Below are 26,122 nucleotides of genomic sequence, written 5' to 3'. Positions count from 1 at the left end.
GTGTGTCTGCCCCATCCTCCTTTCTGCACGCTGGCTTTTCTCTTTGTTTGGGTGTTGATTTTCTCCCCTGTCACCCACTTCAAAGGATGTGTTCTTCAGCCTGCAATGGGACTAACTCTGGCCCCCACTATCTCTGGGCCTTTGAGCTCTGGCACCTTTCATTTTTATTTTGTGGCTTAATATATTCAGCCCTCTTAGCAATTGAATATGTTCCCACAGCACCATTGACTCTATAACAGCAATGGTGGTTCAGGAGCTGGGAGAAGTAGCCTGCGAAGCATAGGTTCAGGGTAGAGAGGGTATTAAAATTCTCCAGATGCACCCAGATTTGGAGACAGGTAGTGCGTTCCTTCTCTTACAGTCTCATTTGTTGGAGTGCTCTCACGGTTCATGAGTTATTTATTCTTTGGAGGCAAAATCTGGGCCCCTAGAATGTTTGTCATTAAATGAAAGAGCCAAGCCAGACGTGGTGGCACACATGACTGTAGTCCCAATTACTCTGGAGACTGAGGTGGGAGGATTGCTTGAGCCCAGGAGTTCAGATCCAGTCTGGGCAACACAGTGAGAAAGGGAGGATGGATGGATGGATGGATTGATGGACGGACGGATGGATGGAAGGAAGGAGGGAAGGAAGGAAGGAGGGAAGGAGAGAAAGAAGGGAGGAAGGAAGGAGGGAAGGGGAGAAAGAAGGGAGGAAGGAAGGGGAAAAGGTAAAGGAAAGGAAGGAAGGAAAGGAAAGGGAAGAAAAAAAAGAACCAGACTCAGGACTCCTCCACCCCTCACACACAGGCTAGGCAGCCCAAGGCAGTATGGTTGAGACACTGTATAACCCCCTCTGAGGCTAACAGTGAACCCAGTGAGACAGCGATAAGGCAAGAAGCCAGTATGAGCAGGTCTCCATGGGAGCGTTTCTATATTTATATTCAGAGCACTTCAAAGAATATTTCAATTGCTATTACTTTAGCAAAAGTCTTTCATGCAAATTTTGATATTTTTCAATGAAGGAGGCTTCATCCAAATCAATGCAATGATTCTTTCCACCTCCTACATGAAACACCCAGCACCTTTTAGTTACACACCTTCAACATGCCAAGGAGAGAGTCTCTGAGTTGCTTTCCTCACATTTGGGGGATTTGTGAACTCTGAATCTTAATAAGAGCCTAGAGTTCTAGGTGTAAACCTTGTAAAGAGTTTGTGTGACTTTAAATATTGCCCCAGCGGGTTACCTTGTCTCTGAAAGCCTGCTACGCTCCCAGCCATACTTGAAGGGCAATGGGTTTCAAGATCTCGGGGTCCCTGGGATGCTAAAGCTGGAGGGTACATCTGCTAAAGCTCAGGGAACTCCCATTTTCGGAGAGCACTGCTTACAATAACCTTTGATGTCTTCAAGTCAAGGTCCACACTCCTGAGATTTAGCTTGGGATGGCCATGCTGGGTACGCAGTGGTCATCTTCTCAGATGCCTCCTCAATACCCTGAATTTGTGTTCATTTTTCCTGCCCAGGGCATAATCTATGTCCTTGTTCTTCCCCACACTCACCCAGAAGGAGCCCCTGAAGGAAGCCTCCTGGGAGGTTGTTGAGTCAGGCAGCTGAACCAGAAGGAAAGGTCTAGAAACTGGGCTGTGCAGCATCCCCTGGGCCCAGGAAGCATGGAGGTGGGACTCCTGCACCAACTTGTCCTCTCAGGTCCGCAGCACCCAGAGCCTGGGTAGAAGAGCCTCAGGAGATCAGGGGTCCCTGCATCCTGCATCTATGGTCTGAGTTGGAGCTGTTACCTTTCAGGATGAAGAGTTCAGTCCTGCAACCAGTTCTCACCATGAAGTCTGTCTCAGCCTGGCTCTCACAATTTGTAGCAGCCCCCATGCCACCCAGGCTAGATGCCTAAATCTTTCAAAGACTCACAGAGATCTGTGTGACCCACACACACCCCTTTCACCCCATCTCCCACTCTCCTCTCCTGGAAAGCTCTTCTCTTGGGTATCCACTTAGCTAATTCCCTCACCTCCATGACGTCCTTGCTGAAATCTCACTTTCTCAGTGAGGCTGATCAGTCTCACCCCTGCATCACCTGCTCATGCACACCTATCCTCCCCACCCTGCTCTGCTGTCTCCTTCCTTTTCTTTTGTTTTCTAGAGAACTTATCATCTACTAACATACCAAATAAATGGCATATTTATTACATTCATTATATTTTTCTCCCCTCCTCTCACCTTCCTAGTAACTAGAAGGTAAACTCTAGGAAGGCAGTGTCTTCACTGGTTTGTTCCTGGGCATATCTCAGGTGCCTAAAATAACAGCTACTGATACTGCCCAAGAGATAGTTATTGACTCCACATGAATGAGTCTGTGGTTTCCCCAAAAATACCATCAAACACCCTCTCTGATGTTGTAGATTCAGGTCTGACTGACCTACTCGACAGTCTCCCAAGTGCTAGGAATTTTCAAGCTCTCTTATACACATGGACACATTTCAACTTCATGAAAAACCTTTCTTCTTGATGATGGAATCGAATATTATTGAAGGTCACCCAGGTGCTAAGCATCACAGCCTAAAACCAGCCCAGCACACCCAAGATCAAGTTCACATTGTTAATCAGGTTCACACTGTCTTTTATAATCCCAAAGTATTTCCTTTTATTCTCCATGAATATTTACTGATATAATTCAAAACAACTCCTTCCTATTATGAACCCCTTCCCAAATAAAATGCGGGAGAAGGATTACATCTATAAAGAAACACAATCCAAGAAGTACATTTTAAGGGAAAAAAAGGCAACGTCTCAAAGCCACTTTCTTTTCTGGTTTTTAGTTTGACTTTTCCCTCCAATGGGTGCCTAATGAGGCGTGACTGCAGAAGGCTGGGCAATCAGGCTGCTCACTTCGTGGGTTTTACTCTGCAATCCCCAGCTTAGGACACCAAGTTTATAGCCTTCGCAATCAGCTTCCTCACATGTGCCGTGTAGCCACTAGAATCACAAGAGGGGCAGAGAGAAAAGGCAGTCTTCTATGACTCCAGTGCTCATGTTCTTACAGCACTGCCCACTGGCAGAATCACAGGTGAGTAAGAGGGACTGAGTTCCTTGTCTCCAAAGTGTTCCAGATGATTCCTTGATGGCCCCTGGCATTGCTTGTAGGGGCATGTCTCACTCAGATGGGACAGAAGAAGAACGGGACAGAAGAAGAACTGGACAGAGAGGGCAGAGTGGTCAATGACAAGGTAGAGCTTCTTGGGAGCCACAGGTGCAGAAATGGACCCTACTGGCCAGTGGGAAGCCACGAGATGGGAAGCGAAGCAAGTGCCAGAATCTCTCAGAAGCTGAGGGAGAAAACCACTTAGCACACAGTTAGCAACCTCCCAAGTCTGGGGTAGACTGGGGCAGGGGTCTGGGAGGAGTTGGAAAATGGAGCATGTGTCTCTGCACAGATAACAAGCCTGGGCACCACCCATCTGCCAATGGGCACTCAGGGGAGGGAAGAGAGGCTTGGTTTGGGTGTCAGGGGACCTGGGCTACCCTCAAGGGTGGCCTCTGGACCTTCAGCATTAATTAGGTGTCCACTAAGAGAGAGAAGGCATTGAAGAAGGTGGTCCACAAGGCCCTGCTGCCCTGGGCTGAGTTGTGGCCAGGCTGAAGGACAGAGCCCCTGGTTACCCTGTGAGGGCTTTGGGAAGTCCCCTGGAGCAGGAGGGAAGTCATGGGCAGAGAGCACGTCTTCCTGGCAACTGGCTGCAGGTGAGGAGGGGGACCTGACTCCTGGCACTCAGTGTGGAAGGGAATGTGTTGGAAACAGCAATGCAACTCCAATATTAGCATTGGTGCCACACTCAGCACCACTGGATGCTTTCCCACAAGAACTGCCTCATTTAGTCCACACACTCATCCTTATTTTACAGATAAGGACCTGAGGCTCAGGGCCGTTACTGCTTGCTCTAGACGAAGCTTGTCCAACCCTGAGCCCACAGGCTACATGCGACCCAAAATGGCTTTGAATACAGCCCAACAAAAATTTATAAACTTTCTTAAAACATTATGAGATTTTTTCATGATTTTAATTTTTTTTTTGTCTCATCAGCTATCGTCAGTGTGAGTGTATTTCATGTGTTGCCCAAGACAATTCTTCTTCTTCCAATGTGGCCCGGGGAATCCAAAAGACCGGACACCCCTGCTCTAGATCATGCATGCTTAATAGGGGTGCCATCGACCCCAAGAGATGAAAATTGGTTCTTGGTGGTAGTGGTGGGGGTAGGGTGGGGAAAAATCCCTTTTCATACACATATGCATAATACGCATAAAGCCCACATACAGCCATGCAGGTATGCATAGCGTCCATATACAACTATACACCACATCTGTAGAGTTAAAATTCATAGGGGTACAACACAGAAAGTCTAAATACATTTCTTAGGAGGTGATAGTAAAGAAAAAAATGATTGAGAAACCCTGGTCTAGCTACTAGCTACAAGTGGCTATTAAACACTCAAAATGTGGCTAGCCGGAATAGAAATGTTCAGAATATAAAATACACAACAGGTTTCGAACACTTAGTGGGAAAAGAGAATGTAAAATATCCTCAATAATTTTGTGTTGAATACATGTTGGAATAATAGCATTGTGGATACCTTGGGTTAAAGAAAGTATATTACTGAAATTAATTCCCACCTGCTTCTCTTTGCCTTTTTTCCCCATGTGGCTCCTAGAAAATATAAAATCACAAATGTGGCTCACATCCTATTTCTAATGGGCAGTGCAGCTATAAATGACCATCTGCTAAGAGGAAGCATCAGGATTTGTACCCAAGGTTTCTGACTCCTTTGTTATCCCATCGCTGCCTCCTTCGAGTAGAACCAGTTACTGTGGGGCCTTAGGTGTGCTTCCTAACCTCTCTGAGCCTCAGTTTCCTCCTGCTCCCATCTCCTTTCAGCACTCTGTAAATGGAGTAGTTCCTTCCAGCTGTGAGGTTCCACTCTGGACCCAGCTATGAGCCTGGGGTCACTGCAGAATAGGAGAACGTAGAGTCCCCAGATGACCCATTTCATCAGAAATGACAGTTCCATAAACAGCAGTGTCACCTGCTGTGTGTCTGCTTCTGGGGAAATACCACAGAGGCAAAGTTAGAAAAAGGAAGCTTCTAACCTGAGGCCAGAGGGTTGGAGAAAAGGTTAGTATAAATGATCGTTTTAACCAAGAAGGGAGAAAAAAAAATGTTCATCTCTTCTAGTAAGAAGGAGATATAACAAAAAAAAATAGGCTTTACAAAACCTTCTCATAGTAAGTAGGGGCGAATACAATTTCTTACAAATGCTACTCTGCTGGATTGAATTGATGGTGTAGTCTCCAACATGCCCTCCCTTTCGTTCCTTTCCTAATGCCTAATTTAGTGGGGGAGAAAATCAATTCTATTTTAATTTCATGAGAAAAATGCTGAATGAAAGAAAAGTGCAATAGAGTGAAACTTCAGCCTTCAGCCCCGCACTGGCCCAGAATGTGTGATTACGTGATCGATGGATTTCTCCTTAGAAGGGCCTCTCAACCTGATCCCTGACTTGGCCTCTGACAATGATGCAGGAAGTTCCCAGGTGGTCAGAAAACCCCTCTGGGGTGCTTGGAAATGCATTCTAGCATCAAGTCCCCTGATCGCCCCTAATTCTCCAGATTTATTTCCACCCCATTTCACCTTAATTTTGGCCTCTGTGCCCCCAACGATGCACTCAAAAGCTCTCTCTGCCTGTCCAAATACTCCTAACATGTCTTTGCACTCTAGCTGATCCTTTAAGAGATTTCCAGCAAAAGTTTTTGGTCTCCCAGGCCCTGGAAGTAAGACTGGCCACTCTTCATGATGACAAAAGAGCTCCAAGGTTAAGCAGGTGGATTCTAGATTCATACTGCCGGGGTTCCAAGCCTGCCTCTGCCTCTTCCTATCTGTGAAGACACTGGGAAGTTGCTCCCCTTAAGTCTCAGTTTTCTCATCCGCAAAGTGGGAATAGTAACGGTAGTAGCCTCATAAACTTGTGGGATGATTAAACGAGTAATGTGTGGAAAGTGCTTGGCAAGGCACCTGGCAACTAGTGAGTGGTATTAAATGTCCTCTCGTGTTGTTAATATTATTGTAATAGGCCGGGCACGGTGACTCATGGCTGTAATCCTAGCACTTTGGGAGGCCGAGGCGGGCTGATCACCTGAGGTCAGGAGTTTGAAACCAGCCTGACCAACATGGAGAAACCCCGTCTCTACTAAAAATACAAAATTAGCCAGGGGTGGAGGTGCATGCCTGTAATCCCACTTACTCGGGAGGCTGAGGCAGGAGAATTGCTTGTACCCGGGAGGCGGAGGTTGCGGTGAGCCAAGATCACACCACTGCACTCCAGCCTGAGCGACAACAGCGAAAACTCCATCTCAAAAAAAAAAAAAAAAAAAAAAAAAATATATATATATATATATATATATATATATAATTGTAATAAATTGCTGCAAGAATGTGAGGGGTGGAGGGGTGTGCCTTTGGCTTCTAACTTGTGGGTCCATGATTACAGATTTGCCAATCAATGAGACTTAGTGCACATTTTTTGTTCTTTTTTTTAAAAAAAATATTTAGTTCTTTTTTTTTTTTTTTTTTTTTCTGAAATGGAGTCTTGCTCTGTCGCCCAGGCTGGAGTGCAGTGGTGTGATCTCAGCTCACTGCAGTCTCTGCCTCCTGCATTCAAGTGATTCTCCTGCCTCAGCCTCAAGTAGCTAGGATTACCCGCGCCCGCCACCATGCTTAGCTAACTTTTGTATTTTTATTGGAGACGGGGTTTCACCATGTTGACCAGGCTGGTCTCGAACTCCTGACCCCAGATGATCCGTCCCCCTTGGCCTCCCAAAGTGCTAGGATTACAGGCGTGAGCCACCGCGCCTGGCTCAATATTTAATTTTAAAATAATTTTAGACTTACAGAAAAGTTGCAAGATTAGTATGGAGTTTCTATATACCCATCACCTGGCTTCCCCTTATGTTAGCATCTTGTATAACCACAGGATAGTGACTGAAACCAGGAAATTAACATTGATAGATACTTTAAGCTACATTATAATGAACACTATAATCTACAGGCCTTATTTGAATTTCACTTATCTTCCCACTAATGTCGTTTTCCAGTCCAGGATCCTATCCGTGTTTCACTTACTTGTCATTTTTTCCTTAGTCTCCTCCAGTCTGGGACATCTCCTCAGCCTTTCAGTCTTTATTATTTTTTTAATATTTTATGACCTTGACACTTCTGAAGAATACTGGTCAGTTATTTTGTAGACTGTCCTTTAAGTTAGTTTTTTTTTTCTTTCTGATGTTTTCTCACGATTAGATCGAGATTATGCATTTTTGGCAAAAAATACCACACATAACCCTTTCTCAGAGCATCGTATCAAGAGGCATATGATGTACATATTTATTTTTATTTTTATTTTTTACTTTTGTTTTTTAGAGACAGGGTCTCACTCTGTCACCGAAGCTGGAGTGCAGTGGACCAGTCTTGCCTAACCGCAGCCTCGACCTCCCTGGCTCACGCAATCCTCCCAGCCTCAGCCTCCCGAGTAGCTGGGACTACAGGCATGCACCACCATGCCTGGCTATTTTTTAAAAAAAATTTTTTGTGGAGATGGAGTCTGGCTATGATGCCCAGCCTGAATGTCCATATTTCTCATTACTGGTATTGTTGACATTCATCATTTGGCTAAGAATGTAGCATGTATTTGTTAAGCATTTACTGTTTCCTTTTGGGGATATGAAAGAGAATAAAATATTGCCGATGCTCTTTAAGAAACTCTTGTCTAATGAACAAATGGTGTTCTAGTTACTACTGCTGGTAACAAATCACTCCAAAATTTAGTGGAATAAAACAACAACTTTATTATGCTTACATATTCTGTGGGTCAGGAATGCAAGAGGGCAGGGATGATTTGCTTCAGCTCCACAATGTCTAGGGTCCCAGCTGAGAAGACTCAAATGACCAGGGGTGACCAGAGAGCCGAGAACTGGACTCACACGGCAGCCTCCTCACTTAGCTGTCTGTTGCCCAGATGACTGGACTCAGCTGGGGCTGTCAATCTAGAGCATCTACACAGGGACTGTCATGCACCCTGCGTTTGCTCACACATGGCGGCCCCAGGGGAGTTAGACTTCTTATACAGCAGCTTAGACACTGTAGACATAAGAGTCTCTGTGGACAAGTCAGAAACTACATTGCCTTCATGACCTAATCTTAGAAGTCACAAAATATCACATCCCCTACATTGTATCGGTGAGAGCAGTCCCAAGTCCCCTAAGACTTAAGGGGAGTCAGGGGATATAAACACCACCTTTTAATGAAAGCAGTGTCAAAGGATATGGGCTATTTTCTAAAAAGCACCAAAAGGACTTTCTACTTACACAGGTTTAGAAATTCAGGCCCAGATACAAGACCTTCACCACCTTGGGCCTCCTTAATTATTAAATACATAGTTACTGAGCACCAACTCTGTGCCGGACAGGCATGGACCCAGCTTCTGGGCTTGCTTGGCAAGTCCCTCCTGAGTGGGGTGGGCTCAGACAGACCCTCTACAAAGCCTCGTGTTCTGACAGTTGCAGCCTCCCCTCAATCAGCCCCTCTCCCTAGAAACTGTTCACACAGGATGTGCACAGAGGAGCCAAGGCCAAGGTGGCAGGGTGGGGCGGAGAATACTGGACTTCAGGATCAGAATGACCTCATTTTAAATCCCAGTTGTACCACATTGAGGATTTGTTACATTTTCATTCTTAATCCTCATGTATTTGGTAAACCTTATTGACTCCTTCTCTATGCCAAGCTGGGTGCTTGGCAATTATTACAATCAATAAATAGAATCTAGGCTTTGCCCTTAATGAAGGATTTGTTCCAGGCGGTGTCTGCCAGAAAGGCTGTTAGTATGGCTGCAGGGTTCCAATGAGCAGGATCATGGGATTATTTAACTTCTTGCATCTCCATGCCCAAAGCCAACTGGAGAGGAATTGGTCATGCAACTTAGCAACTTAACCAGGTTAAACTTAGCAGAACAGAAATCAGCTGAGTGTGAAGTTGGAAGGCAAGCAGCTCATGTTCAGAAACCCAAGAAGTATTGCAATACAGACTAAAAGCCATTGGGAATATTGCTAGACAGACTCATTAAACAAGAAGGTTTCTGTGAAAATAACAAAATCATAGCACCCAGGACACCCCAGCATGAGACTAAAAGCTGAAAGGAGGTTGAGGCTTCATATTATTAGGCTGCATTATGGTAGTTCAGGAAGAAAGAGCTTAGAGCCGTCTGAGTTGATGGTGGCCCTGCTATGGGACTCTGACTGCATTCTTTGAAATTTAGGGCAGCTGGGAAGAGTGAATCTCAGAATATCCCTCTCATGTGAGGCAGGGGAGGGAAGGCAATGAGTCTGGGAAGCAGCCCGGTGCTAAGGATTGGAGGGGCCAGAGGTGTTGGTGGAGGGAGCACCTGTTGACAGGAATACACTCACCTAAAGTGTGTCTGGTAGCTAAGGAGCAGGATGGTGACACAGGGAAGAGAGCCATATGCATGGTAGGCACATAATGTTTGTTCCTGTTATTATCACCCACTAACTAACCCTCCATTTTGGTTGATGGATGGTGAATACTAAGGACCCTGGGCCAGCTGGATTTCGAGTTTGTTTTCTCCCTATGTTTGATCCCACAGCCAATAGGAAAACAGCTGAAGTCAGAGAGCAGGGCATTGATTGGAAATCAGCAAAAGCCATGTTGGGCAAACGAGTTAACTTCCCCACTCCTACAACAGCCCTTTGATCCATGGTAACCAAGAAAGTCCGCACCAGGCTAGAGGAAGCCCCTGCAGGGCCGCAGCAGGGCTGATACGGCCAGGAACCACGGGCATGGGTCCCTGTGCTGGCAGTGCTGGGGAAGGTGTGCAGCCCGGGCAGGCCCCGGCACAGCCAACCAAGCCTGCAGGCTGAGCCTCTGACCCTGAAGCTTGGCTTTGGAAAGCAGGGAAGCCTGGCAGATGCTGTTCAGAGGCGTTGCTGCTCTGTTCTGTTGTCTCCAGGGCCCTTCGGCTGGTGAGGGTACAAAATAGAGCTTCAGTCGCTTAAAGCTTGGTAAGTGATGGGTCAGAGTTTCAGCCCTGGCTCTGCAAGACTGTCAGCCAGTGGTCTTCCCTCCCGCTGGCTGAGACCCACACTCTTTGCCTTCATGAATGTTAACAGCATTGGAAGCACGAGGCCAGTAAGGATACTTGCAGGTCTTCCCCAGTGGTTTTCAGCCTTAGGAGGCTCAGGTCTGGGGCCATGTGTTGGCTCCGTCTCATTCTTACATTTCTAGGGACCTCATTCTTCTCCAGCCAGGACTCAGAATCTCTCAGAGTCACTGTTGTCACCTCTCCATCTCCTCTGCTTCTGGTTGAAACAAGGCCTTCTTTGTATTTGTCATCTGCATGAGAGCCAGACCCTCCAAAGGGACCCCGGTGTTGTTCCTCTGGTCATTTCAATCCTCCATCCCCTTGCCTGAGAAAGTGTTTCTCCAAACTCAGTGTGCATGAGAATCACCTGGAGAGCTTATGAAACAACAGAGTGCTGGGCCTCAGCCCCGGACATTCTGATCAGGAGGTCTGGGATAGACTCATGAATCTGCAGCTCTAACAAGCTCCCAGGTGGTGCTGATGCTGTTTATCTGCAAACCACACGTTTAGTAGCACTGTGGTATGATCCTGTGTCTCTCTTGATGGCCTACCCTCTCCTTTAATGGCTCTATATTACCCTCGAAATAAAATATATACACTTGAGTAGTTCATTAAAGGCTTCCATAATCTGAGCTCAGCAGAAATGCCACCTACTGTTGCTTAGTTTGTGCACTGCACAAAGACACACTACCAAGGAAATGAAATCCATTAAACTCTGTGCTGTGTCTGCCAGGAAGAATATGACTGGGCACCAAGAAAAGCGTATCTTCTTCTTCTCACAAAGGCAGCATCAGCTCACTGAAGTACAGGGGGCTGAGACTGAGTTGAGACAGGCACCTTTTCTACTTTGCACAAAAGCATCCCTTAGGCAAGCAGTTGTCCTGCCCAAGAGCCTTTTCTTCTTTCATTCTCCACCATCTCCTGTCATGCCTCCCACCCTTCTCCCATGCTCCTCATCTGGTTAACAGCTTCACACTCTATGAGGAAGGCATCTGGCCCCAGAGACTCAATCTGTTTTCTCTGTTACATGCTCATAAGAGCCATCTTCCCTTCCTTCAGAACAGAGCTCTTAATGTGCCTTGCCCGCTTATTCCTGTGGGCCATACCTATCTCCCTCACCAAATTGTAGGTTCCTGAGGATTCTCTAGAGCTTAGTACATGGCCAAGCACCTAGTCAAGAGCTCAATGGATATCTGTTTAGGTTCTGTTCTGCAGCCACAAAGATGCTCACAGCAGCCAAATCTCAGCATGCCATTTGTTGTCTTTTAAACAATTGATTTTGAAATAAGTTTACAGAGAAACTGTAAAAAAAAAAAAAGAGAGAGTTTTATACCCCTCATACAACTTTCCCTAATGTTAACATCTTGCATAGCCATGGTATATTTATTAAAATTAAGAATTCACTTCAGTGCATTATTATTGATTAAATGCCAGACTTTTTTTTTTTTCCAGATTTCTCCAGGTTTTCCACAGAGGTCTTCTTTTTTCTTCTAGGCTCTCACATAGCATTTCGTTGTCATGTCTCCTTGTTCCTCAACCTGTGACCATTTCTTGGTCTTTCTTTGCTTTTCTATGACCTTCAAACTTTTTTGTTTTGTTTGTTTGTTTGCTTGCTTGCTTTGAGACATGGTCTCACTCTGTTTCCCAGGCTAGAATGCTGTGCCGCGATTGTGGCTCACTGCAGCCTCGACCTCCAGGGCTCAAGTGATCCTCCTGCCTCAGCCTCCCAAGTAACTAGGACTACAGGCGTGCATCACCATGCCCAGCTAGTTTTTTAAAACAAATTGGTGTAGAGATGGGGTCTCGCTGTTTTGCCCAGGCTGCTCTTAAACTCCTAGGCTCAAATAATCCTCCTGCCTTAGCCTCCCAAAGTGCTGGGATTTCAGACATGAGCCACTGCGCCTTGATACAGAAGCCAAAGCCACTCATGGACATTCTGGAGCCTTCCTTCCAAAACAATGGCTTGTCTTCCAGGAGTAAAGAAATGGGGGTCACTCTGCAACATAAAATGGAAACTAAAATTAGAATTATAATTTTTCCCTTGAAGAACTCGAGGCTCAGAGAGGTTAAGCAATCCCTCAAGCTACACAGCTAATTTAATTATTCATTTAGACATGCAAAAGGATGAAATGTTGAACAAACACCAGATACGATCTTTGCCTCCTTGGAGCTTAAAGTCTAGTACAGAGGTCTGCAAACTTTTTCTATGAAAGGCCAGAAAATAAATATTTTAGGCAGCGTGGGCTGTAGGGTATCTGTTGCTACTTCTCTCTGCTTTCGTAGTGTGAGAGTAGCCATAAGTCCATATTTAAATCAATGGTGTAGCTGTTTTCCAATAAAACTTTACTTACAAAAACAGATGGTAGATTGAATTTGACTTGCAAGTCATATTTTTTCAGCTCCTGGGCTGGTAGAAAAGGGACTTATTGATGAAATAATTACATGGTTACATGGAAAGTTAGTGGCTCAAAAGAGAGACAGGTGACTCTGGAAACGTAAAATAAGAACCTGGGAGTCAGAGAAGATACCCATAAAAAGAGTCCCTGTAAGTGAGGTCCGCTAAGGGTGAGGAGTCATGAATGAGGCAACAAGGAGGCATGGGAAGGAAGACGGGGCCCAGGCTGACAGAAGAGCTGGTGCAAGTTCCTGTGGCAGAAAAGACCATGGCTCTTTTTAGTACTGAAGTAAGGCTTGGGGTGCTGGGGGGAGGACGAGCGAGGCCAGCTCACGCACTGAGCTGATTAAGACCACATGACAGAGACACATTCTTCATCCTGAGAGCTCTGGGAAAGCATTGCTCTTACGACATGATTGGATTTTGTCATTGTTGTTGTTGTTGAGAGGGAGTTTCACTCTTGTTGACCAGGTTGGAGTGCAGTAGCGCCATCTCTGCTCACTGCTACCTCCACCTCCCAGGTTCAAGTGATTCTCCTGCCTCAGCCTCCCGAGTAGCTGGGGTTACAGGCATGCACCACCACACCTGGATAATTTTTTGTAATTTTAATAGAGACGGGGTTTCTCTGTGTTGGTCAGGCTGGTCTCGAACTCCCGACCTCAGGTGATCCACCTGCCTCAGCCTCCCAGAGTGCTGGGATTACAGGTGCGAGCCACTGTGCTCAGCCTGGGATTTTTGTTATGAAGCACCTGCTTTGGTTTCTGGCTGTGGATCCTACTGTCAGCAACTAAAAGAGAAGGGGGACATCCTTGAGTACTTTTTGCAGCCAGAACCCATGCCAGGAGCCCAGGGTTGATGTGCAGCTGTGTACCCTTCCCCCTACTAACCCTTTATTTTATGTTTGCTATTCTACAAATCTTCCGTTTTCCCCGCTTATAAATGAAGGTTCATATTATATTATACGTTTACAGCCACAGCTCCCTCCCATCCCATTTTTCTCACCTTTCTTCTTTCCCTCCCCAGCCCGATCCCTCACTAACTTCGTGAAACTTGCAAGTTAAATTTTTCAAAGACTGTTTCTGACAAAGCAGTGGGAATTAGATTTGGTGAAGCCCTTCATAAAAAATTGAAGACATGCTATATTAACATACATTGATTTATTCATAGTGTTTCATTACAAGTAAGTGAGGATCCTGTAATACCAGGAAAGGTTAGGAGAGCAGAAGAGCGCGGTATATTATATTGACAGCTCGGTGGAAATTGAGTTGCTTTTGGATTGAATTTGGAGCGCAGGAAAGGAATTGGCTAGTAAATAAGGCATGAGTTTTACCTCCCAGTGTCTGTATATCAATGTAGTTGCCACCAGTCCAAGCAGGGGGACGGGGACAGAATTTTCAAAGAATGCAAGCACACGTCCTCTCCACTGGTGCACTGGGGTTGGTGGCTACAGGCTGAACTGTCTGTACATCTCCCCTTTTCTGCCACAGTGGAAACCAGAATCCACCTGCATGCTGAAAACTCCATTTGCCCCCATTTGCTCACTGCTCTGCAGTGGCTCTGGGCTTTGCTCTGTCCAAACCTTTTCCCATCCCAGATCTTTGCCTACGCGGTTCCCTCTGCCTAGAAGCTAGAATACTCTTTCCTCTTCTGACTCAGGATTGTCCTTCGGATGTCAGTTGCACTCTCTCCTGAGATACCTCCACGAGCATTTTTCCTTAGTTTGGTCATTCTCAGATGCAGACCCTGAGATGGGGATTTGAATATGAGCAGTTTGCCAAGAAGTTTAAGAAACACCAGTAAAGAGATATGGAGTGGGGAAGAGAAAGGAAAGTAGCCAATCATCACTGTGTTTTCAAACCAGCTGCCTCTAGAGGCAAGTGGAGCTGAGCCTCTCAGGGAAATTGGGATGCTGCAGGAATACCAAGGAGGGGGAGCTTGCAGGGGTATAAGGAAGGGGAGCCTGGAGAATGTATGCATCAACTCCCATCAGGGCTGGGGTGTTAATTAACCCCCATTCCCAGCAAGCACCCATGGAGAAAGTCCTCAAACAGAGAGGCAGATAGATGCCTGTAGCACTTGCCTCTGAGAAGGAGTGGGGTGGGTAGGGGTGACCAGAGGGAATGCTGTAGACAGGCCCACCAGAGCAGCCTGAAGCTAGCAGCCACCTGCATGGTGCACATGCACACTCAGGTGCTGCTTGAAAAAAAGCCCAAAGCCCTCAGCTCCCTGCATTTTTCCTCCCTCCTGCGCACACTCTGCTCTGGGCACCGTCTGACCTCTCTCCTCAAGGATGCGGCACCACTACTGTTTAATATAGGACAGAGAAATCACTTTTCTCTCCAAAACACTTGGTGCCATTGCCAGTAACAGCAAATTGCTTATTTTTGAAGGGAAGTTGGTGTGCTTCCTTTTCTGCCTGGGTTTGGCCATTCTTGATGGAAGATAAGTGATGTCAGCTGTGTATATAGCTGGCTTACCTCTCTCAAGAATGGAAGTCACTTGAGGATGAGGCCTGACTTGAATTCAGTTGGGCACCTCTCCAGCAGCACACAGTGCAGGGCCTAGAACACAGGAGTACACAGGAAACACTGTGAAGGAGCAAATAAGTGGATGAGTGAATTCATTTTTCAACTGATGCACTGTTAACAGGCCAGGCAATGTGGTATAGAATATAGAGTACAGGCTTTGGAGTCAGACCTGCCTAGTACGGTGTCTGCAAGAGATTGTTGAATGTACCTGGGAATGCCTTATTTGCTACTACCCATGACAACATGGATGAATCCCATGGACATAATGATAATGTTGAGAGAAAGAAACCAGAAACAAAAAAGCGCGTTTCATAGGATTTCACTGATACACAGTGCAAAAACTGGCAAAACTCGTCTATGCTGTTAAAAGTCACACAGAGGTGATCCCTGATGGGGGTAGGCAAGTAGGATTGCAAGGGAGTGTGAGGAAAACGTTTTGGGCCTGGTAATGGTTTGGTTTTTGATTATATGACTGTATCCAGTTTTCAAAAATTCATCAAGAGTTATGCTTTTCTGTATGTATATTATACCATAATTAATTTTTTTTTTAATTTTTTAGAGACAGGGTCTCTCTCTCTCACCCAGGCTAAAGTGCAGTGGTACAATCATGGCTCACTATAGCCTTGAACTCCTGGGCTCAAGCCATCTTCCCACCTCAGCCCCTGAATAGCTGGGACTACAGATGTGTACCACCAACCCAGCTAATTTTTTAATACTTTGTAGATACATAGATACAGAGTCCTACTGTGTTGCCCAGACTGGTCTCAAACTCCTGGTTCTAGCAATCCTCTCACCTTGGCCTCCTAAATTGCTGGGATTTCAGGTGTGAGCCACCACACCTAGCCTAATTAAATATTTTTAATGGAACAAACCAGGTAAGACAAACAAAAAATCTTGTGTTTGCCACTTCACAACTGTGTAATTTCAAGATGTGACACTCAAAGTGTGATCCGTGGGACCAGTGCTGGGCTACCAATTGTTATTTTCACCCTTGGGCAAGTGCAGAAGTTGAGAGTGAGTGCTTCAAAACTCTTCTAGTACCTTGCTGTGACACTCAAGTGTGTGATCAGGGAACAGTAGACACAAATCATTCCACAGGTGTAGACCAGTTTGGTTATTGCTGAACTCACATGATATGTCACATGGGGCATGGTCTTCATATACCATAGACAAACTATCTCCATATACAATTTGAAAAATGGTGATTGCATGCAAGTTGCTTCCATTGGCACCTCAGTTTCTCCATTATTAAAATGAGAGTAGCTATCCTGATGCCCCCAAGGATTTGAGGAAGACAAAAAAGATAATGCACGAGAAAGCACCAGTCAGCAATCGCTATCTGTCTGGAATATGGGGCCTGGGATCTGCATTTTTAACAAGACTTATAAATAATTCTCATCGGGACGCTCTACCTGGACACTGTTCTATGACTGCAGTGTCCAGCATGGTGACCACTGGCCTCACGGGGCTACTGCACTTATGAAAAGCAGTGGCTAGTCCAAATGAAGAAGCGCTGAAGGGGTAAAAGACATATTTGTAAGACTTCATACGAATAGTAGAATGTAAACAATTCCATTCAATTTTTATGTTGTCTACAGATTGAAATGATAATAGTTTGGATACACTGGGTTCAACAAGATGTGTTGTTAAAATTAGTTTCTTTTTTTTTTACTTCTTTTCATGAGACTGTCAGAAAATTCAAAATGACATCTGTGGGTCGCCCTCTGTTTCTTTTTTTAAAAATTTTTTGTGGGTACATAGTAGGTGTATATATATTTATGGGTTACACGAGGTATTTTGACATAAGCATGCAATGCGTAATAATCATATCTCGATAGATGGGGTGTCCATCCCCTCAAGCAATTATCTTCTCTGTTAGAAACAATCCAATTATACCCTTTTAGTTATTTTAAAATGTACAGTTAAATTATTTTTGACCATAGACCGCCTGTTGTGCTAGCAAATGTAAGATCTTATTCATTATTTCAATTTTTTCTACCCATTAACCATCCCCCCACCCGGTACTGCCCTTCCCAGCCTCTGATAACCATCCTTCTACTCTCTATCTCTGTAAGTTCAATTATTTTAAGTTTTAACTCCTACAAATCAATGAGAACATGCATTGCTCCAGTGGGTGAGCAATGGGGTATTTGGAGGCTGGGATCATCTGGAAAGTGGACAGCAACAGGCAGCTTAGCAGAATCTGCTGGCCAAGTTCACATGCCTGCCCCTTCCCCCGCCTCCCTAAGGTTCCTCTAAAGGAGCTCCATCCAGCTTCCTGAGTGAGGCATTTATTTGTTTGTTTGTTTGCTGGCTTGTCCTACAGATCAACTACAAGGCTGTCGGCTCGCTGGACCCAAGTGCTGACCTCTCGAGCCAGAGGGGGAAAGTGTTCAAGCTCCGGAATGAAACCCACCACCTCTTTGTGGGTCTGTACCCAGGGACCACCTATTCCTTCACCATCAAGGCCAGCACAGCAAAGGGCTTTGGGCCCCCTGTCACCACTCGGATTGCCACCAAAATTTCAGGTATCTCTGCTAGAAAGGAAAAAGGAAAAAAGGTTGTTTCACCCCCACTTCCTGATTTTCCTTGAAGTGGAAATTTTTCTTGAATTGTCACCCTGTGATATGGGTGGAATTAGGACGATCCAGTCCCTAGTGAGTTACCATTGTTGTCTCCTATGAAGAAAATCTAAGTGATGAACTTCCTAAAGTGTAAAAATTAGATTAATTAGGTGGCAAGCCACTAAATAATTTTCCCACAGGCTTGCATTAAATAGTACACGTGTGTGTAGATAATGTATATTGCACACAAGTTGGTTATTAAATTCATTTTCAGGAACATTCTTTTTGCCAGAACAAGACATTAGCGCAGGTTCTCATGAAATACCTGATGAATGAATGAATGAATGAATGAATGAATGAATTACTATTATAGGGCCACAGTAGTCCAAAATTACAGACTGCCATCACCCGTAGGGCCCCCTCTGCCACTAGACAGCAACAATGCAGAATTATTTCAGAACCTTTTTTACAGCTTTCATTATCCTAAATATGTATGCAATTCTGGTCTGCATACATACATATTTTGCACATGGTTTTCCAGAAAAACATGTTTTTTTTGTAGCTTAATGTTTTCTCTTATCTTTATCCCATAAGTGTTTCCTATGTTGCTACATTGCTTTCGTTATAATGTTCTGTCAAGTGGATGGACGTAATTTAATTATACATTCCCCTGTGGTTGGATATATTTGGTGCTTCCGTGTTTTTACAAAATAACGCTTCAATAAACATGTTACAAAATAAAGTTTAATTCATTGGTTTGGATTATAGCTTTAGGAATAAATTCAGAATTTGGAAAAACTGAATTAAAAAGGATGTGGGTTTTAATAGCTGTTACTACAAATGGCTAAATTACCTTCCCAAAGGAATAGATATAGTCGCATTCCTATCAGCTGAGTATGAGGGAAGGGAGGTCTCATGAAGGAAAAAAAAAAAAGGTAGAGGGGAAGTAGTTCATAATTGATGTAATTTGCATTTTAAATGTGTTTGGCAAGGTTGACTCTGCTTTCACTTCTTTGTTAGTACTTATATTCCCTGCACATATCTGTTTATTAGGTGTGGAACGTTTTGGTTCATGCAGGTTACTCGACAGATCATTGCTACCCTTCCCCACACTACTGCACCTTGAAGAAACCTACTATGGGCAGGTTGGGCATCGGGGCCTCCTTTACTGAAGGCCTGGAAGGCTTCTTATCCAACCCCTTTCCTAAACGTCCTCCCTCTATCCATGCTGTGTCTTTAAGGATGGCAGCAAGGGGCGGTGGGGAGCCAGTTGGGAATCTGTGCTGAACTCACCTGCACTCTCTGTTTCCTGTCCAGCTCCATCCATGCCTGAGTACGACACAGACACCCCATTGAATGAGACAGACACGACCATCACAGTGATGCTGAAACCCGCTCAGTCCCGGGGAGCTCCTGTCAGGTGAGGATGGTTCTTCACTTGGAGTCTGCAGTTTTTCTTCTCTGTGCCACATGGGCCTCCAGTTGAATCATGTGACTGGCAATGCCCATGGGCAAGACTGGCCAGGAACAAAGCTTCCTCGGAGGAAGGAGGTCAGCAGCCCCAAGCCCAGTTCAAAGGGAGCCCCTGAGTTCAAGGCAAACCTGGGTGACATAGGGAGACCCCGTCTATACAAAGAAAAAAATTTTTTAAATTAGCTGGATGTGGTAGCACACGCCTGTAGTACCGGCTACTCGAGAGGATGATATGGAAAGATTGCTTGGGCCTGGAAGACCAAGAGTGTAGTGAACTGTGATCATGCCACTGCACTCCAGCCTGGGCAACAAAGTGAGACCCTGTCTCAAAAAAAAAAAAAAAAAAAAAAAAAAAAAAAACAAGAAACATCCTAATCAGGACCTGAGATGGTCTAGAAGGAAACTTCCTGGAACATGTTTATGGTAAATTTAGTTAGTGGGGTCGGTGGCCTGGAACACAGTCTCCTGGAAAGGTCACTTTTCTTTGTGTCACTGCCAGTAACAGCCAGATAGACAGGTTTGCTGAATACTGAAAACAACCTGCTCAGATATCACAAATCTGACAAGACCTGGGGACTGGTCCAGTTTAAGGCTGTAGGGTGCTGGAGTCCCATAGGGGCACTTGCTGTCAAGGTAAAACTGCTGATTTTACCAAACGTGGTTGGAGATCAGGAATACACTGACGCATCTCCATAGTTAAACTGACCACTGCTAGTTCATGATATCAGGAGCGTGGGCATCTCTTTTAAACAAGATACACTTTGCACAAGGGCAGCAATATTGACTGCCGGTTTTGCCCAGAACTCCAGGAAGGAGGACTACAGTCCCTTAAAATGAAGCAGAGCATTGAGTGGAACAACTTTCAAATTGCTCAGTTCAATTCATCAAGCATAAACTCAGTATGTTATGTACCAGGAATGAGGCGGGGCCCAAGGCCTAAAAACCATTCATTCATTCATTCAACAAACATTTTTTTTTAAGAATCCACCCTGTCTCGGGCAATGCTTAAGTGCTTGGAAACACAGCAGTGAACTAGCCATGGATAAGTCACATCCTAAAGAAAGTCAAACTCTAGTTGGGGAGACAGAAACATAATTACAGTACAGTGTGTCGTTGTGGAGATACGCATAAGAGCTCAGAGGAGAGAATTCCCAGTGGGGACACTGAGCTGTATCTTAAATGATGCTTAAGATTTCACCAACGTTGTAAGAGTGTCCAGTGTGAGCACAGGCATGGAGGAGAGAGACAGCATGCTATAACAGGGAGCAACCAGGGCGGTTGTTGCTTTAACATAAACATCAAGGTGGGAGTGCTGGGATGAGAATGGGAGTGTGTTTGAGAGGCTCAGGCCTGTTTGAAGGACATGGGCAGCTACTAGAGAGATGCATGCAGCCTCACTCCTTGTGTCACTGGAGGCTAGGACACCAGCCCAGAAGGGGGCTTTTGAGATGGTCTAGCTAGCCATTGTCTATCCTGTATCCAGCTTCATCTAGAAATGATAGGCATTGAAATAGACAGAACCAACCACCACCAATTTAGAAGTTCCTATGTAGTCTGAAGTCTTTGGACAATGCTCCCCCTAAGTCAGAGAAGTCTTTACACTTTCCCTCTGAATCTCTATACTCTTGGTTTTGCATGTCTACTTAACAAGCTTATATATCGTAAGACTCAACAAATTATGAGGAGGGATAAGGGGATGAAAGTTTCCCAGTAGCAATGAGAAATGACAGTTGTCAGGGTGCAAAGGAATAGCGCAACTCTACAAAACAGACACAGGGACTCAAAAATCAAGCAGGCCTACATGCTGTCATCCCTCATAGCCATTCGTGTTTATTACTTGGTCCTGGTTTACCCTGAAAAGATGGGTCTGCAACTTACAGGAGCCTGCTAGCTTTCATTTAAGGAACAAGCACTTGCTACCAGCTTGTCTCTATATATAACACTACCTGTATTCTCGCAACATTGTATAATAGTCTCCTCATTTTGCAAATATAGAAATTGAGACAAACAGAAGCTAAGTCAGTTGACTCAGGCTATAAAGCCAGCAAACGGTACAGGCAAAATTTAAACTTAGTTCAAATGACCTAAAGCCAACACTCATTTTACTATACTATACCACCTCCTAGGAGAAAGGTGTGCATGATATATTTTGGTGACATTTTTATCCAAAAATAAATAAATAAATAAATAAATAAATAAATAAAAGAAATGTCACTGCTCAAAGGGGAAATGGTTGGTGTCTGGAAATGTCTGGCTGCTTTTCCTCTCAAGGCTCTAGAGCATTGAGGGTGGGTGTAGACTCAGTTTCTGGAATTATTTCCAGACTGTTTCTTGAGCATTTGACTAGAAGGGGAAGTGACTAACCAATGCCACCCAGCACGAATTTCAGGACAACTGGAAGGACAGAAGTGGAAATATCACAATGGATTTCAGTTATCTTGACCTTCATTCACCTTGAACTCTGGGCAGTAGGATGTTATATGAGAGGTAGTTGACCACTAGGTCATGCAACAAATATTTATTGAACACTTAGTATGTTTAGGGAAGTGAGCTAAGCAATAGGGATACAGTAAGGAACAAGATAGCCACACCTCTGTCCTCTTGAGGCTCCAGTAAATTGTTTGTGAGTGAGGCAGGGAGGTGGGACATTAAGCAAACACACAAACAAACAAAATCATGAAATTAGCAAAAAAAGTGTCACTGAACAGAACTTGGTCTGTTTGCCCATGCACAATAGAAAGCCAAACTCTGAAGTACTGTGTTTTTGTAGAGAGAAAAGTTTATTGCAAGGCTGCTGAACAAGGAGACAGGAGTCAGGCTTTTGGAGGCGGGGACAGGTTTTATAGGCAGAAGGTAATGGAGTGATCTGATTGGACATTTGCAATGTCGTGATGTGGGAGACTTGATCTGACTGGATCATGTCATGAGGTGATGCTATTGAATCATGGATCATGCCATGTGGTGTTCACTTATTAAACTATCCCCATTCCTTAGTCCAAGCACCTAGGTCCCACCAATGGTGTCATGCCTGGTGCATCTGGTGTGCTCGGCTTATGTTTCTTGCAACCCAGGGGTATTGAGCTGCTTCTGCAGTTCCACTGTAAGATGATATGAAACCACTAGGTACATTGACTGTAGTGATTGAGAGAAGCGGTAGACTGGCTGGACAGATGAGCACCACCCAGGAAAGCAGAGCAGTGTGCAGTTGTGTGAGTTGGGGAGGTGAAGGATGGAGAAAACAATATGGACACTCTATGATCCCAGGACTCAAAGAACTCACTAGATGCACTGGGTTAAGGATGCTTCGAATAAATTTTACAGTTAATAGTTTTCTGAATTAGTTTTCTGAATTGTTCCTTTACTTCCATTGTATTATCTGATCCTCACCTACCTGGTGAGTCAGCTGGTTGGGAAATACCATCTCCATTTTGGAGCAGGAAACTGAAGTCTAAGATGTTAACTGATTGGCCCAAGCTTGTGGGGCTTGTTACAGTTAAAGACAGTGCATAGACCTAGTATCCTGGCTCTGAGTTCATGGCTCCCCTGGGAAGTTCTGAGTTCCTCTGCCTGGTATGTCACGTGATGACCGGGTGGCCCTTTTGTGGGGGTGCTACGGAGTAAACCTCCACCAACCAGGGCATGAGGGGTGGGCAAGAGGAATTCTCAGGGGTCCTCCAACTCTGCCTTGTGTGAGCCCGGTCTATCACTTGTGAGCTTCAGTGGGTCCCTCTTTGAGTGGAGCTGTGTGTTCTCAAACAGACTCACACAGAAACTTTGGCCTTCAGACCCCACTCAGGCAGGCTCTTCTTTCTGCCAGTGATGCTCCAACCCTGGCTGAGCCAAACTCTAGCCCCTGCTTTGCCACTTACTGCTCCTCTGAAGCCCTGTGGATCTGACTCTATCTGGTAGAACTGAGTGTGCAGGGGGGCGAGATGTGACAGGGAGGACTGTTGCTGTGTGGGGCTCCCGCACCCTCATCCCTCCAGCCAAACCACCTCAGCAGCTTGGCCTATTTTTCTAACACTCCACAATGGAGATTTATTGCTTTTGTATTGCTTTCCTCAGGCCTTCAAAGATTTATTGGTTTTTAAGTGACAGAATCCCAGAATTGCTTAAAAGATCAATCAAATAGTGACTAGAATCTAATATTCAGTTCTGGCTTGAACATGCCGAGCCTTCTTCCCCCACGCCCCACCTGTCACACTGATGTGTGACTGATCCGTACTAACCTTCATAAGAAAGTAACTTAGCCATGAATTAGTCACCTATAATGCAGTCCCTGAAGTGAGGCTGGGGGCAGAGCCCCAGGTTCTATAACAGACCGTCCCCTGATCCCTGAAGACTTCCTTGGAAATGTTCTTTCCCCCTCATTCCTCCCCTTCCCATCTAATTAGTCATGGAGACTGGTCCTCTGGACTTCAGAACCTGGGCCAAGCTCTCTCTTCTTCTCCCACATTGGCACTTTCCAGCCTCATCCTGTGGACCTGCACCCGCCAGGATATGCTTGCTGGAGTGCTTGCTGCAGCTTCTCATCCTTCAATCCACCCCCCACTGAACTGCTGGAGTGATCCTTTGGAAGCACAAATTGGATCAAGTTAACTTTCCTGCTTAAAATTCTTAAATGGGTCATTGGTTTTCCATTGCATTAAGTACAGGCTTCTTAGCATGGAATTCAAGGCTCATCAGAATCTGTCCTTAGCCTTGTTTCCGGTTTCCTTTCATTTCCGTCTGCCCCTTTACCAGGTTTTACTCAACAGTGACCTATATAGTTCCTTCATAGTTCTTTCCTGAGCCTTTAATTGTGTTATACAGCTGTTCATATATATATATTTTTTGTTTTGTTTTCTGTTGTTTCTACATACCCCTCTATAGGCTGTGAGCTCCAAGAAATCTGAAGGCTTGGTACTACTGAATTCCCTTTACATGGGATAGTGTCTGGCATCATACATATATATACACACACACACACACACACACACACACACACACACATATATATGTATGTATATATATGTGTGTGTGTGTATAGTAACTAGTTTTATATATATATGTATATCTATAGTAACTAGTTTTATATATATGTGTATATCTATAGTAACTAGTTTTATATATATATGTATATCTATAGTAACTAGTTTTATATATATATGTATATCTATAGTAACTAGTTTTATATATATATGTGTGTGTGTGTGTGTGTGTGTGTGTATATATGCCTTCAGCTACCTCTTATTCTGAAAAGAGTGCTGTTCAATAGAATTTTCTGCAGTTACAGAAATGTCCTATATGTGTGCTGTGTGGTATGACTGCCACTGAACACATATGGCCATTGAGCACCAGATATATGGCTAGTACAACTAGGAAACTGATGTTTAAAATTTTTATTTTAATTAATTTAAATTTCAGGAGCCATATGTGGCTACTGACTGCCATTTTGGATGGTAAAGGTCTACAGGAAAGACAATCAGAAAAAGAAAAGGTGCCAATGAGCCTGTGTTTGGCCAGCTTGTTCAGAAGTTTCCATGAGAGTTCAGTAGAGAGGCAGCCCTTGGTAGAATGGTGAGCTCAGAAGCTGGGAGGGCTTCCTGGAGGCAGTGTTGCTTAAATTGAGACCTAGGGAATGAGGAGGAGTTAGTGAAGAAGGGAAGAGTGTAACCTAGAAGAAAGAGCAGCCTATGCAAAAGCGCACACAGAGAAGGTACAGGGTGTGTTTGGGGAGCCACAAGTAGCTCAGTGCGTGGGGACAGAGAGATGAGGAGAGAAGCAAAGGAGCAGGCAGGGTCCAGGTGAAGAAGGTCTTCACTCTGGATTTAGACTTTGTTCAGAAGGGAGTGTGGAACATTGGGAAGGTGAGTGCCCAACTGTTTGTCCTTCTCTGAGCAAACAGGCCCCTAGTCCATGCTGTTCTCTCCACCAAGCATGCCATTCTCCACCTCTCCAACATCCGGTTCACACTGGCCACATCCAGGACCATCTCCACTCTTGCAGCAGAATGCACCAGCTCCTTCTGAGTTGCCACTCTGTCATGGTCATCCCTCTGTCAGTGCCTTGCGTTGTCAGCCTCTGCTAGACTGTGGCCTCCCTGAGGGCAGAGATGGGTCCCATACGGAGCTCCTCACTCAGACCTAAGACCATTATGCTCTTCCTGCCATAGCTGACTTCCCAGTTGGATACACTGAAACAGGAGTGGCTCCTAAAATCAGACCAGTCTTATCCAATTGTCCCACTGGGTATACTGGAAGCAGGTACTTATTTTCTCTGAACCGTAAGTTGCTTGTCGATAAATGGGAATACCTACATCACAGATTGTTTTGAAGGTCGAATAAGCTAAACTGTGTAAATTGCAACTGGTAATTGTTCAACATGCTCTTTGGGGGCTGGGCCTGATGCCTCATGTCTGTAATCCCAGCACTTTGGGAGGCTAAGGCAGGCAGATCACCTGAGGACAGGAATTCAAAACCAGCCTGGCCAACATGGTGTAAACCCATCTCTATGAAAAATACAAAAATGCGTTGGGTGTGGTGGCAGGTACCTGTAATTCCAGCTAGTTGAGAGGCTGAGGCACTAGAATCACTTGAACCCAGTAGGCAGAGGTTGCAGTGAGCTGAGATCACACCACTGCACTCCAGCCTGGGTGACAGAGCGAGACTCCGTCTCAAAACAAAACAGAAACATAGTCCTTGTGTTTGGCCAAGCTGTTGAGGCAAAGAGTGGCTCTAAGCCATGGGCAGCCATGGGCAAGAATTTTCTCTGAGCCCTGCTGCAAGCCAATGCCTATCTGCTGTGTATCCTCCAGCACTCATGTGAGATCTACTACATGCGAAGTGCTGGCCAGTGTAGGGCACATCAGGAAACCTACACTCATCTCCAGGGGTGATCTTCAAAACAACATTACCTTAAAAATAGGAAAGACAATCAGAAAAAGAAAGTGCCTATGAGTCTGTGAACTTGGTCAGATATGAGCACCTTTCCGA

General features: G+C 45.0%; 1 protein-coding gene across 11 annotated transcripts in view; it reads left to right on the top strand.

The window, feature by feature from the left end:
- The window catches only part of PTPRT (protein tyrosine phosphatase receptor type T), a 1,158,017-nt gene that overhangs the window by 820,184 nt on the left and 311,711 nt on the right, over window positions 1-26,122 (top strand). For all 11 annotated transcript variants that reach the window (XM_047439848.1, NM_001394024.1, NM_007050.6 and 8 more), the window contains exons 10-11: window positions 17,438-17,639; window positions 18,993-19,095. In XM_047439848.1, coding sequence (XP_047295804.1) covers window positions 17,438-17,639; window positions 18,993-19,095 — 305 coding nt within the window. The remainder of the gene's footprint in view (window positions 1-17,437; window positions 17,640-18,992; window positions 19,096-26,122) is intronic.

The sequence above is a fragment of the Homo sapiens genome, chromosome 20, assembly GCF_000001405.40.
Source record: "Homo sapiens chromosome 20, GRCh38.p14 Primary Assembly".
In the NCBI taxonomy this organism is placed as follows: Eukaryota; Metazoa; Chordata; class Mammalia; order Primates; family Hominidae; genus Homo; species Homo sapiens.
This window is presented reverse-complemented; position numbering and strand designations above follow the sequence as displayed.